General features: G+C 31.7%; 1 protein-coding gene across 14 annotated transcripts in view; it reads left to right on the top strand.

The window, feature by feature from the left end:
• POSTN (periostin) overlaps positions 1-14,145 on the top strand; it is a 36,184-nt gene extending 22,039 nt beyond the window's left edge. For 2 of the 14 annotated variants that reach the window (NM_001424174.1, NM_001135935.2), the window contains 5 exons: positions 5,272-5,361; positions 6,061-6,150; positions 6,909-6,986; positions 12,170-12,211; positions 13,360-14,145. In NM_001424174.1, coding sequence (NP_001411103.1) covers positions 5,272-5,361; positions 6,061-6,150; positions 6,909-6,986; positions 12,170-12,211; positions 13,360-13,397 — 338 coding nt within the window. In that variant the 3' untranslated portion in view covers positions 13,398-14,145. Of the gene's footprint in view, positions 1-2,077; positions 2,159-5,271; positions 5,362-6,060; positions 6,151-6,908; positions 6,987-7,346; positions 7,431-11,233; positions 12,212-13,359 lie in introns of those variants that run through there. The other 12 variants (NM_006475.3, NM_001286665.2, NM_001424172.1 and 9 more) reach the window with 12 other exon arrangements.
• Positions 14,146-14,461: the final 316 nt, after the last annotated feature.

Below are 14,461 nucleotides of genomic sequence, written 5' to 3'. Positions count from 1 at the left end.
TGGGAATACAATCTTGTAAAAAATATGTTTTCTGAAAATTAAGCAATCCTTATGGGCTCTATTCATCAGACATGTTATGTCATCTTTCTTCATCAAAGGTATAAATATATACATATGCATATATATATATACACATTCCCACTACATTTCTTTAGCTTCCCTTCTTTATCCATCTTAGTTTCACTACTTTCTATATATGTGAATGCAATATCTTGATTACAATGAGCAAAAATATAATTATTTTCTCCTACTAAATTACATCCTCACTCACAGAGCATAAGCTACATTTTATTAAGACACACATGTTCAATGGTCCTTCCCTACCTACCCAGAGGCCTTGAAACAGCTCTAACATTTACATTCCAATGTAAGATGTTTCTTTTACTCCTCCTTAGACGGTATGCTGTTATTAAGAAGTATTTTAAAGTAGAAGTAAAGATAAATTAAACCAAATTTTCTATTTTTATATTTCGTTGTTGACTTGTTTCTAAAATTCCTATAATTTTTTGCTGCATATTATCCTCATCCCCAAAATAACATCCATTTTAAAGTGTATAGTTGAGGGGAAGGATGCTGTTTTTGGTATAAGTTGTCAAATATGGAACATTTGACCTGGAGAGGGCTAAAATCAATATTTAATCCTCAGAGCTTCACCTGTCAAAACTATTTAAGTCTGCAGAAAATCAAGATTGAAATGAAAACTACCAACCAGCTGAACATCCAAAACGTCAAATTCCTTAACATGATGTAAAAAATGTAAGCTAAAAGGAATTAGTCCATTTTGATAGCAGCAATAGAGAGCCCTGTGTATTCGTATTCGACTTTCATGGAAAGGTTCTTCTGTGGCAAGACCACCTGTGGAACTAGTACCTAAACACACAGATTTGTTTTATTTTAGAGCTTCACAATTTGAGATCTCAAAATACAAAACCTAATAAGGCTGAAACACAGGGTCTATGAAGGCTAAGAACCCACATTAATTCAAAAAGTTGACACAGCTAAACATCTTACAAGCATGAGGTGAGAACTGCAGAAACCAAAGCTGTGCTAACATCTCACCTCTACTGCTTTGATGTGATCTAGATGCACAGTTAGCTTCAGTGTGGCCCGTTATCTAATAGAACCATCTTTCAAGGCTTTTCATTAGAAATGACAAAAAGCCAGTTGCTCTGGCTGTGTGGCTTCAGAGGCACATTTCCAGTTAATCAGTACAACCAAAGTCAACCAAATAGTTGACTGGTATTTAATTTATTTTAATTTACTTTTATTATAGATCTAGGGGGGTACACACGTAGGTTTGATAGATGGATATATTGAGTAATGCTGGGGTTTAGGCTTCTAGTGAACCCATCACCCAAACAGCAAACATAGTACCTAGTTCAAAGACTATTATCTTACTTAGGTAGACGACACACGTTTAAAATATATACCTTTAAATTAAAAAAAAAAAAGGATAGTGATAACAAAGCTGAAAATTAAAGACATTTTAGCCTATAACTTAAATACTGATCATATCATGTTTGTTGAATAGAGCTCATGTCTGGCTGGCTGAAATTTATTCTTACTTTTAAGTATTCTGAACTATGTTTCATTTTTTCCTTTCTATGTCACTGTTATCAGATGCATGAAAAACATTTTAAAAGCCTTTTTCTTTCATTTTTTCTTTTAATTGAGAAAGAATCCAGCAATGCAATTTAAGATATTATGAATTGCATGACATTAATCATATTTGTCTTCTGTTGCAATGCAGCCAGTATTTTCAAGAAGTACAAAAGAAGGTAAAGCGCTTTAGCGGTACAATTAAAAATTACAGATTTCTAGATATAATTCCTCACTTTGTGAGTATATATTTCACTAGATCAAATTCAAGTCACTAGACTTCAGAGTTCAACACCTGGACATGAGAAGATATTATATTATGTACCATAAATATTTCCTGTATCTGACTGCCTGAACATATTACCACATCCTGTGCCTTAGTATCCTACAGAGACAAAAAAGAAAAGGAAAAAAAAAAAAAACCTTTGTTCAGGTTTTTATGTAAATATTTTTCATGTTCCACTTTCTATACTTTCAGCAACTAAAATTATAACCAAAGTTGTGGAACCAAAAATTAAAGTGATTGAAGGCAGTCTTCAGCCTATTATCAAAACTGAAGGTAAAAATCAATGTTATACATGGTTCCTTTTATAGTAAAAACATCTGTAAAAATACTGATCTCTATGAATGTATCTACATTCTTTTAAAAACTAACATGTTAAATGTTATATAACCAATATTATACCAATGGCATGCTCATGTAATTGCAGAATGCGGAGTGCAAATTATTTAGCAAAGTAGATGATGCATTCCTAATACTTTCAGTACATTTGCTTGTACTTGATTTAATTTGAATCTAATTGGCATTGCATTAACTTAGTATACAGATACTCACTAAACAAAGACATGAGTTTTTTTTACTTTAGTCAGACTCCTACAGGCTGTATACTCTTTATGTTGCTTTGTTTGCAATCTCCCACATGTTCTTTCTTATAACAGTGCAAGAAGCTCTTCCAAAAAAAAAAAGTATAGGCATTTTTCATTGTGTAACATAAGATAGCATAGAAGCTATGTTTACTGAAAGCTTTTAAAATTACAACCACGCATGAGATATTTTTTAATTAGACCATCAGAATTATAAAACAAAATGAGTAGTTTATGCAGTGAATTGATTTTTAAAATACTTAATTCCAGCCCTGAACATATTATTACATACAGACGTATATATTATACATGAGATATATATAATACAGACACACACACACATTCTCTCCTGATGTTTCAGACTAGAACATTAAATAAGCAGTTACTTTTCTCTCTACTCCCACTATGTATGTTAGCCAACTTCAACATCTTTGATGTTACTTTCATTTCATGTATTTTAATTATGTCCAAGGATCACAATTTAAATTTTTTAAGATTTCCATGTATAAGCATCTTAATGTAGCAACTTACCCAGAGAAAAGAACTAGTTATCTCCTTTGTGCTATAAGAAAGCTAGAAACAGTCTTCCAAAAAGAGAACAGATTATATCTTTGATGGAATCTTTGGGAAACTGTAATTATACTTATGTTTGGTTTTGCTATTTCTTTTGGTGGTTTGAGAAGGTAACTTCTTGAATACTTTTATCTATATTTTTTAAAGTAAGTCATTAATTTAAATTTATACACTGAAAATACATAGGTAAAAACTTATTTCCTAGCTAATTAGTTATCTATATTAGTATTTATTCTTGAGACTTAAAATTGAGTTATTCTTTGAAATCTATCCTTGTTTTTTTCTTGAAAAAAATACTATAATTATAATTATTTAATCGACTTTCTATAGTGATGAAGACAATTCGGTATTTTAAGAAGAAATTAAATCAGAAAGTTTTGTTGAAAAAATGTTCCTTGATCATTGTAATAAAACATGACACAATGATCTTTGATAATACAATTGATTTTAAAATCAAATCTTGTCCTGTTTTTAAAAATCAGATTCCCTAAAATTTTGCACTATAATTGTGCACAGCTTCTTTACCTGAAATTATTTACATGTGCCAATGTTCTTATTTTCAAAGATTCTTCTCCTTTGAAGCTTCTTTATTCAACTTATTTATCTCCTCAATCTTTGTCAGTAGGATTCTATCCTACTAATCTTTATTCAGTTAAGATCATACTGGCGGGTCATCTCTACATGGCTTCTTCTTATAAAGGGAACATGGATGAAAAATGGAGTTGTGTCACCTACTCATTAATAACTTGAGTTCAGAAATTACACTCCTGTGTAGCATAATGAAGGAAACAAATATTTATCTTAGTAGTAATTTACAATGGTCCAGCTTCCAGGATTGCTACTGGCATTTCCTTCTTACTATTTGAACAATTACAGATTTATTGATGACTTTTAAATTCTTACTAAATGAATTAAACTCCAGGACACAATTTTAAGGTGTCTCTTATAAAAGATACATAACAGCATTTTGGAATTAAGAATAAATCAGCTAAAATTCAATTCAACAAATAGTTATTGAGCAGCTATTCTGCTGGGTACTTTCTGAGGTGTTGGGAGTAAATAGGAAAACAATTTTGAGAAAATCTCTTCTTTTATAGAGCTTAACTATAAAGGATGTTTCCAAAATTTCAGTTTGGCTTTTCTAAAGAAATATTGATTTAGATATTTTATTAACGCATTTTTGGTTCTTAAATTCCTTAGGCGTCCTTTCTTTTGAAGTTACCGCACCTTAAAAACCTGGCTTTATGTTTTGTGCTCAATATCCCTTGGCCTTATATATCAAATATTATGGCATGAAATACTTATGGTTTCAAAAAACTTTACTTTTATTTTCATTATTTTGGATTGTTCTAGGCTGGTTTCGTTTTGGTAATCATGTACATTGACAATTTCTGAACAAGCAAAAAAAAATGCTCTCAAAGATAAGCAAGCAACAGTTGCATTCCACTATTGAAGGCTATTACAGTATGAGTTAAATGTACTGAACTTATTTTTCTTACTCCTCTGTGAAACAGTCTTAATTAACTAATGTAGTAAGCAGCTTTCTAACCTTCAAAATGATTTTCTGTGGTAGCAAAATCATTTTGCAAGTCAAATGCAACACTAGTTTATCTTTTGCATTTGAAGGACTGTTTAACTATTAACTGGTTAATTGTGTATCATTCCCATACAGAAGGTAAGTACTCAAATTATTTTCCTCATAAAACCTGACATTCAGCATCTTAAAGGTAGGTATACATTTGGTACTTTCTTATGTTCACTCCTATACCCACTAGATCAAAAATATAAGGTACTGAGTGATTTTAAAACTTAAATGAAAAATTTTAATAAGGAAAAAGTAATAGACAATATCAGTATGATAAAGTGGGATCTACACCAGTTATCAGAGAAACACAAATGTGTACATACTGCATGATCTGCAAAGTGTAGCCACATATAATATTTTGCATAATCATACTTTATAACTACGAATAAACAGATGGATTTATCCATCTGTTTAAAAGCTAAAGCAGATGAAAGTAATTTTAGTAGCACACAAACAGACTAAATCATTTGTTCTCATAACTCTTGTCTAATTTGAAGACAATGGGAAATATTTAAAAGTGATTTCATAGAGCCTGAAACCACTTTGACATTTGAGTTGAGTCACACCGAATGTTGAAATAAATGTCCTATTCCGGTAAATTTAAAGGACTGTTTTAACATGATAATTTGTCTCCTAAAATAATGTCCCAGGACCCACACTAACAAAAGTCAAAATTGAAGGTGAACCTGAATTCAGACTGATTAAAGAAGGTGAAACAATAACTGAAGTGATCCATGGAGGTGCGTTCCTTATGTTACCTGGGGCCGACTACCTTCGCTGTGATTATTTTGAAATAGTGTTGGTTTAGAAATATTGAACATCTGATATTTTCTCTTAGTTCTTATTTTATAAAAATTGTGGGAATTATTTCCTCAGCTATGAGTTCTTATTAGCTGGTCAGAAATAAAACATAGTTAGCTTTTAATGGATCTAGTTGGAATTAATTTATCTATTAAGTCACTGGGCCCAACAAAATGTCATGATTTTTGCATATACAAGTGAGGATTGTGGAATAAAATTGTAACATTAATGTCAGTATAAAAGGAAATATTAGAAACAGTAGGAAAAAATGACCATTGTATAAGTCTCTGTCTAATAAGCCACTCCACTACTAGGATTTATGATAGGGCTCCCATTCCAATGATATAGAACTCCCTGGATTCTCACTAAGTATTTATTCCACATCCAGAAAACAAGTATGACATGGAGAGTTAGGATGTCAAATGGCCCTCTCTCTCAACCAAGATTCAGGACATAGCTATTACCTTTTAGATCCCTATTGATATGATTTTTGGGGGATATGTTCTAAAAATGTTTATGATTGAATCTTAAATGGTAATATTTGTAGAAATATAGTTAATCATTACAATGTCTAGCTTATGGATGTATAGTCACAATATGAGGGTAAATCAAATGCATTTGTATTCCCCTGCTTTTAGAGCCAATTATTAAAAAATACACCAAAATCATTGATGGAGTGCCTGTGGAAATAACTGAAAAAGAGACACGAGAAGAACGAATCATTACAGGTAGCCATTAATTCCATACATGGATCTATGCCTAGATTATAAAGATCAAATTATAGTTAATCCCCAAATATAAGAATCATTAAAGAAACAAGTCATTTTCATAGTGATTACTAAAGTTACTTCATATTTTGGCAGATATAATATTATTCTAAATATGTAATCTATGTTTTACTCTGAATTGAAAATTTGTAGACAAATCTAAAAGCATTTGTTTTTATTACATGTATGCATACATACATGTAATATGATATACCATTGATATGATATTCCATTTTCACTTTACTGTTTGTTAATGAGTTAGAGGACCCTAGAAGAAAAGCCATTTCCTCATTTGAGCTTCCATTAATCTTAAGGTCTGTACATCTACCTGCCAAAATAGAAGCAAGTTTATACAAAGCAATTGATCAATATTTTCAGTAAACCTCATATCAGACTTCCAAACTAGCGTCCAGTTGGTCCAAATTAGCCTAAAATTCGCCGAAAATCCTTAATTCAGCTATTCTTTAAGTATTTGTTTAAACAATTAGTGAGCAAGTGTGGCTTGTGCCACCCATTTATGGAAATAAAGTTTTATCGGAACACAGTCTTTCCCATCCATTTATATAATACCTAAGGCTGCTTTCACACTGAAGTATCAGAGTTGAACAATGGCAACACAGACTACATGGCCCACAAGTGTAAAATACTTACTCTCTGTCACTTCGCAGAAGAAGTTTGCCTACTTCTGTTTTAGACCTTTTTCATTGTCCTTCTCATAGGTCCTGAAATAAAATACACTAGGATTTCTACTGGAGGTGGAGAAACAGAAGAAACTCTGAAGAAATTGTTACAAGAAGGTCAGCATTTCTAGGAAAATAAGAATGTGACTTTACCTAAGCTATCCATATACAAGTCTAAAATAACATTCTACATGTTTTCTACTCTATCTCAATCTATTGTTCATTTCCATACCAACAAGAAAAAAGCACAAGAATAAGGAATTAAGCATAAATGGCAGTCATATTTTTTATACAGTATTTTGTTCAACAACTTTATAAGAATATTAGTATGTCAGAAAACAGCACTAAAATTTGTGAAAGAATCGAGTGTTGGGCTGGAATTCATTATTGGGCAGATGCCATTATTTATGACATAAAGTCTGCTGTCTTTATTTTGTTATATAAACCAATTTCTGCTATAAACATGTATCCTCTCAGAGGTCACCAAGGTCACCAAATTCATTGAAGGTGGTGATGGTCATTTATTTGAAGATGAAGAAATTAAAAGACTGCTTCAGGGAGGTTAGTAAAAGGACAACAACTAACCCCCTTAACAGGTTCTAGTGACTGAGTTCAACTTTTTAAAGACTGAGCAAGCAGATTTTTTCTTTTAATTGGGTTAAAAAAAAAAAAGACAACATCCACTGTTGTCTTAATAGATGGATTGGTTCAATGGTAGTTAATAGTTATGAAGAAATGATTACTAGTTTAAACAGTCTTTAAAAAGTTCTATGGTATAAAGTTTGGGGAGCAATGAATATTTTTTTTGCTTTGATTCAGATAATTTTAAGGGCCTTTTAAGTATGCAAAAGGGAAATAATTGTTAAATTGCTAGCTGTTAAACAAGCCCAAATTTGATATACTTTTTATATTTAAAAAATTATATTCACTGCCCCCATAAGAGCAATCAAGGCATGTCTTTAAATTCTATACATAGATATAGCCAAAAATAGTGCATTTAGTAACATTCTTTTCCAAAACTATATTCTTGGGAATGAATATCTGTTTCTTCTAACAGTTTGAGTGATAATCTATACCTGTAGATATAAGTTATTTTGCATATAAAATTAATCTTAATCTTTTATGGAATGTTCTCTGTCTGTGGCATTAAATGAACCTTAAGAACAAAAAAAAAAGAATTCAAAATCTTACACAAACCCTACATAGTAATTATTCAAAGATGTTGTTTATATAGATACATAATTTGTATCATTGGCATTTGAATAAACAAATTTCTACTTCATTTTTTAACAAGGAAAGAATTAAGCTGAAAAATTATTTTTTGTGAAACATGTATTTATATTCTTTAGAAAAACCAAATAGGCACTTTGAAATATACTATTAATTGAGAAACATAACTGAAGTTTGATGTTTATCCAAAACACAGTCCAGATGGCTTTTCAGCTTATACTTTTTAAAACTGTATCACTATGTCCAAGAAAATGTAAATTATCTTGGGACTTTCTATATTTTTAGCAATTATTATTTCTATATTCTGTAGTTTAATAAACGTAAAATCTCTTAAATAGTATTTAGAAACTTGTCAGTGATAGTTTAAAAATTTTTAATTCAACCAATGATTGAATTTTCCCTCAATAGAAATATATATGTCTGAAAAATACAAGTTTCCTCCCAGAATTCTAAGAGTACATAGCACAACAGAGCCATAACGGAACCAAAGATTCCTGTAGGATCTAACAAAGAATTCACTATCTACCCCTAAATGCTCAACTGTCTGCTAGGAAAAAAATCTAAGGATTTGAGGGAAGAGACAAACACATTATGAAGATTAAATTGAATTCTTTTTTTTTTCTTTCAGTCCTTGCCATAGTAAGCAGCTTTGTAGAATGGTAGTGCTTTTTAGGGAATCAATAAATTAGTAGCTGCATCAGTTTATATTGCTTTAATTCATTTAGGATTAAATTTCAGGTAAGTATATTTTCTTCCCCTTTGATAAGCCCCTGTTATTGAGGCCACTATGAAAAATCCAGTTAAATACTAAAGAATTGCTTCAGCCAAGAAAACATATAACTGCTACAAGTTAAGTATATGACATTCAATTTTTAGTTAATGAACTCCTTTCTTAGCTCTTGCCTCTGATCATCCCAGAAGTTTATTCCTTTAGTTCCCAGTGTATGATCTCTCTACATATCTGTAAGGCATCGGTTTTCACAATGCCACGTCAACTATTATAGCATTGTGAAAAAACAAAAAAAATTAAAAGTTTTTATCAAATCATTTCTCCAAGGTTTTGCTTTTTGTAGGAAAAACACTATATGCGGTAGAATTACTAGTACCAGCATTAATTGGACATGCTTGTTTTCTTTTTTCCAGCTATCTAAAACCATCAGGTCATTACTGAGTCACAAGTATCCCCTTGTCTAGATCCTAAAAGGCATTGATAAAAGAAGCTAGTAAAGATTACACTATGTAAGACTTTTTTTTTTTCCAAGGTCTGGCCAATTAATACATATCTGAACCATGCTCTTCAACTCAATAAGTTCTACCTAAAACTGAATTTTCTATCTAAACAGTTCATATCGTATACATTGTGGTACATGTAGTACATTTTTTTTTTTTTTTTTTGAGACGGAGTCTCGCTCTGTCGCCCAGGCTGGAGTGCAGTGGCGGGATCTCGGCTCACTGCAAGCTCCGCCTCCCGGGTTCACGCCATTCTCCTGCCTCAGCCTCCCAAGTAGCTGGGACTACAGGCGCCCGCCACTACGCCCGGCTAATGTTTTGTATTTTTAGTAGAGACGGGGTTTCACCGTTTTAGCCGGGATGGTCTCGATCTCCTGACCTCGTGATCCGCCCGCCTCGGCCTCCCAAAGTGCTGGGATTACAGGCGTGAGCCACCGCGCCCGGCCATGTAGTACATTTTTTGTACTTTTGGTAATTTGAGTATATTTCTCAATCATTTAAGTCATGACTATTAACATGGCTAACTGGTACTTTGAGTACTGATGTTGTGATTTGTCACTGATACACTTCCAAGACCTTAACTGAAAAAATTTCTCATTAAATGCATAAAATTTTTGGGCTTACCTTAGAATTATGCATTCTGAAACGACTCAAGCAATTAAAGGAGAATAACAGACTATGTCGAAAGGAACAACAACAAAAAGTCATTTTTGAAGGTTTTCGCAAATCTGCCAACATAAGAGGTTAAGATTTGTAACCTCTATAGAGAATAGTAGATCGAGTTGTAGGTCTGCATTCAGTCTGAGCCCCAACTCAATCCCAAATTAGTTGACTCTTTTCTTGCTTGTTTCCTTCATCTGAAAGTGAGGATAGTAGTGATACCTACAGTCTAAATAAGTTAATATATGACAAGCTCTTAGAACAATGTTCAGCACAAAGTAAGCTGTCATCAAATGTTACTGTCAATCATCAATTGACATTAACATGGTCAATTAAGTAATGTTTCTCACCCAACTTTAAATTTCCATAGTCATAACCATGGAAACATACAAAAAACAAACATGCAAATAAAATGTCAAAATAATTGAGCTGAGTACTTTGCATGCTTTAGGAAATAAGATGTAGGGTGGTTCTTTGTGCCAATATATTCAAGTAATTGGTTTATCTTCCCATGTTTTGCTGCTCTAAACATGATCTAATATAACTCTCATTCATGTTGACATAGCAGAGAGCTGCTAGGAGTAAACCTGTTTTCTACACATTAATCAAGCTGTTCTTTCAAAGTATTTGTTTGACACATTGAATGTTTTTTATTCTGGAATATTATCACAGCAAAACCTCATTAATTGGATGCTATCAAAATTATGAAAGGAAATCTGAGTGAGCACACTTGTTTTGAAAAGAAATTGGTAAATACTTCTATGATGCAGTTTTAAGTTATACAATTAACTGCTATTTGGAATTTAATAAGTCCACTATAAGCAATGTGCCTGCACACCAATTAAAGGTTGGATCTGTCTCTTCTTGACAATTTTTTAGAAGCCATTATTTCGTTACCAAATAAACCTGAAGTTAAGAAATATTTATATTTACATCTATTTATATCTGTTGGAGAATATTTCATAACTCAGACTTGGTTGTTTTACACAGACTTCTCCCCATTATCCAACATAGTGAGATTTTTCTATAGTTCTATATTTTACTCTAGTATTAATGTGGTTTTATAAATGATTATATGCCTTATATTCTGGGGGGAAAGAAATGTGAAAATGTGCTAAGTAGACAGAAACAGAATATATAAGTTGTTTTGAATGTTATTTCTTTTTTAAAAAATTTGCTTGGTGTCATATAGCCAAAACTATTCATGGTGACAGTTTCATTGCTTACTTTTTATATGATTTCAGCGAATTGAAAACATGTATATAATAGAAAAAACTGGACTTCATGCTGAGTATAGATGATACATATAAAAGAAGTCAAAATTTGGAGAAAAAATTTAAAAAGATAAGTAGAAAAATGAAGTAACTGTAGAAACCATACTTACTCTTTGATCTCAAATGCCCAAAAACTGAATGAAAATGTGAATTTAGGCCGACCAGGTAGTCTTGTCAATAAACTAAAAGAAAAACAGGAAAATTGAGAAATATGTTACAACTATAACAACACAAAACAGCATAGTTTTGAAACACTTGCAGTTCTTAAATATAAAAGCTTTTATTAGTTAATTTTTTAAAAGGATCTCATAGGATTGACACTGAATCAGGTTGGGAGGTGGAACAAGGGTGATGGCATATTCTTTCTGAATTACTTATTATAACATTTCTAGAATCATTAGGTCAGTGCTACTTTGTTGTCGTCAATGTACAATAAAGGAATCACAAATTGATCTTAGTGATAATTTTACAGAGGCAGACATTGCACATAGGTATGACTGCAAAAATGGGTGGCTAACTCTGGGAAGATACTTGTGTTAAACTTTATATGACATTTAATAACCCTTCATCATAAGGCAATGTTTTTTACAAAAAGATTGAAAAAATCATGTAAGTCATTTACTCTGCAAAAATGGCACATTAGGTGGGGTTCCAAAATCCATAATGAAACAATGTGTTTTGCAACTAAGAAACATTCATTATGATATATGGAAAACACTGTCTGTCTACTTGTCCTTTACGAAAAAATGTAAAACTCTGAGGATCATAAAATTTAACTACTAAAAATAATCTTCGTGTTTAAGTGATACTTATTTAAGACTTTACACTGTTCTGTTTAACCATGGTCTCCTGTCTGATTTTAGCCATAATTGCGAAGTATTTCTAACTACAACAATTTAATTTTAGACACACCCGTGAGGAAGTTGCAAGCCAACAAAAAAGTTCAAGGTAAGTGTATTGGCTATAGTAATGTGTGTATATGGCCTCTTTTGTTACATGAAGAGAAATCAAACAATAGGAAAGATTTTAAAGTATTTTATTGAAACTTGTTATCGATCAGAGAGAAAAGCTAGCCAGTTTTGATGAAAACAATTTTGATAACAATCAGAAAATAAATTTCTCATGTTCTATACTATCAGAATCTAATAACAAATATTAAGGGAAAGGTCAACATACTCATGTAAACTGCTAGGCATATTGAACCCTTGAGATAGACTCAAGTGTATATTCTCCATACATATATATATATATATATATATATATATATATATATATATATATATATGTAATGTTTTGTATATACAAGTATACATATAATTTTGTGTATATAAGAGTTAAGTCAAAAAGAAATTGTTGAATATCAGAGATAAACAAATGTAGATTGCAGGTGGACCTGAATCCTTAAAAATGTTATTATGTGAGACAATGCTACAGTTTGAGACATAAGTAAATAAGAAATGTATATATGCAAAAAACCATTAATATAGCTATTTACAAAATGTTCATTTAAATATGTAGATTATATATGTATATATCACATGTGCATTACAATTTATTTCATAATTACACTATGTGCATTTGCTAATTCCTCCACTTAAGTTATCTTACATTCCAATACATTGAGAGAGCAAGAATTTCCCTTGTGGAAGCTAGAGTAAATTGCAAGTTTGGAATTGCAAGTTTGGAATTTCTGGGTTAATTAGATACTAGTAGTGAAAAGGAGACACAAGGCTTATCAATGCGCTATAGGAACTTCTTACTTTAAACCAATCCAATATACAGACCTTTGAAAGTAAAAGATCAACTGCACAGATATTTTTTAACTAAAGAATGTGTCAGTAAATCTATGTAAATATCCAAATTGACACAAATTTTCTAAAGAGTTAAAATTATTAAATTTCAAATTATTATTTTATATACTTTTGATCAAAATATAATATTTGCTTCACCATAAGTTGAAGATATTAAGAAAACATAATCTAAGGTTTATTACAAAAAATAATGGCCTCTGATAGATATACAGAGAATAATATATTCTTAAATTTTAAAATTTCCTAACATTTACAGTCTATACATTCTCCTTTCTTTCTAATTAGGATCTAGAAGACGATTAAGGGAAGGTCGTTCTCAGTGAAAATCCAAAAACCAGAAAAAAATGTTTATACAACCCTAAGTCAATAACCTGACCTTAGAAAATTGTGAGAGCCAAGTTGACTTCAGGAACTGAAACATCAGCACAAAGAAGCAATCATCAAATAATTCTGAACACAAATTTAATATTTTTTTTTCTGAATGAGAAACATGAGGGAAATTGTGGAGTTAGCCTCCTGTGGTAAAGGAATTGAAGAAAATATAACACCTTACACCCTTTTTCATCTTGACATTAAAAGTTCTGGCTAACTTTGGAATCCATTAGAGAAAAATCCTTGTCACCAGATTCATTACAATTCAAATCGAAGAGTTGTGAACTGTTATCCCATTGAAAAGACCGAGCCTTGTATGTATGTTATGGATACATAAAATGCACGCAAGCCATTATCTCTCCATGGGAAGCTAAGTTATAAAAATAGGTGCTTGGTGTACAAAACTTTTTATATCAAAAGGCTTTGCACATTTCTATATGAGTGGGTTTACTGGTAAATTATGTTATTTTTTACAACTAATTTTGTACTCTCAGAATGTTTGTCATATGCTTCTTGCAATGCATATTTTTTAATCTCAAACGTTTCAATAAAACCATTTTTCAGATATAAAGAGAATTACTTCAAATTGAGTAATTCAGAAAAACTCAAGATTTAAGTTAAAAAGTGGTTTGGACTTGGGAACAGGACTTTATACCTCTTTTACTGTAACAAGTACTCATTAAAGGAAATTGAATGAAATTAGTGTTTCTTGAGTTTTTCTCTTTTTAACTTTTAAGCTCAGGGGTGTGCAGGCATGTGCAGGACGTGCAGGTTTGTTATATAGGTGAACATGTGTCATGGGGGTTTTTGTACAGATTAAGTTATATAAAGAATCATTAGACGGCCGGGTACAGTGGCTCACACCTGTAATCCCAGCACTTTGGGAGGCTGAGGCAGGTGGATCATGAGGTCAGGAGATGGAGACCATCCTGGCTAACATGGTGAAAACCCGTCTCTACTAAAAATACAAAAAATTAGCTGGGCGTGGTGGTGGTCACCTGTAGTCCCAGCTACT

The sequence above is a fragment of the Homo sapiens genome, chromosome 13 (assembly GCF_000001405.40).
Source record: "Homo sapiens chromosome 13, GRCh38.p14 Primary Assembly".
Lineage (NCBI taxonomy): Eukaryota > Metazoa > Chordata > Mammalia > Primates > Hominidae > Homo > Homo sapiens.
Note: the sequence above shows the minus strand (reverse complement) of the source record. Positions and strands in the feature narration are given on the sequence as shown.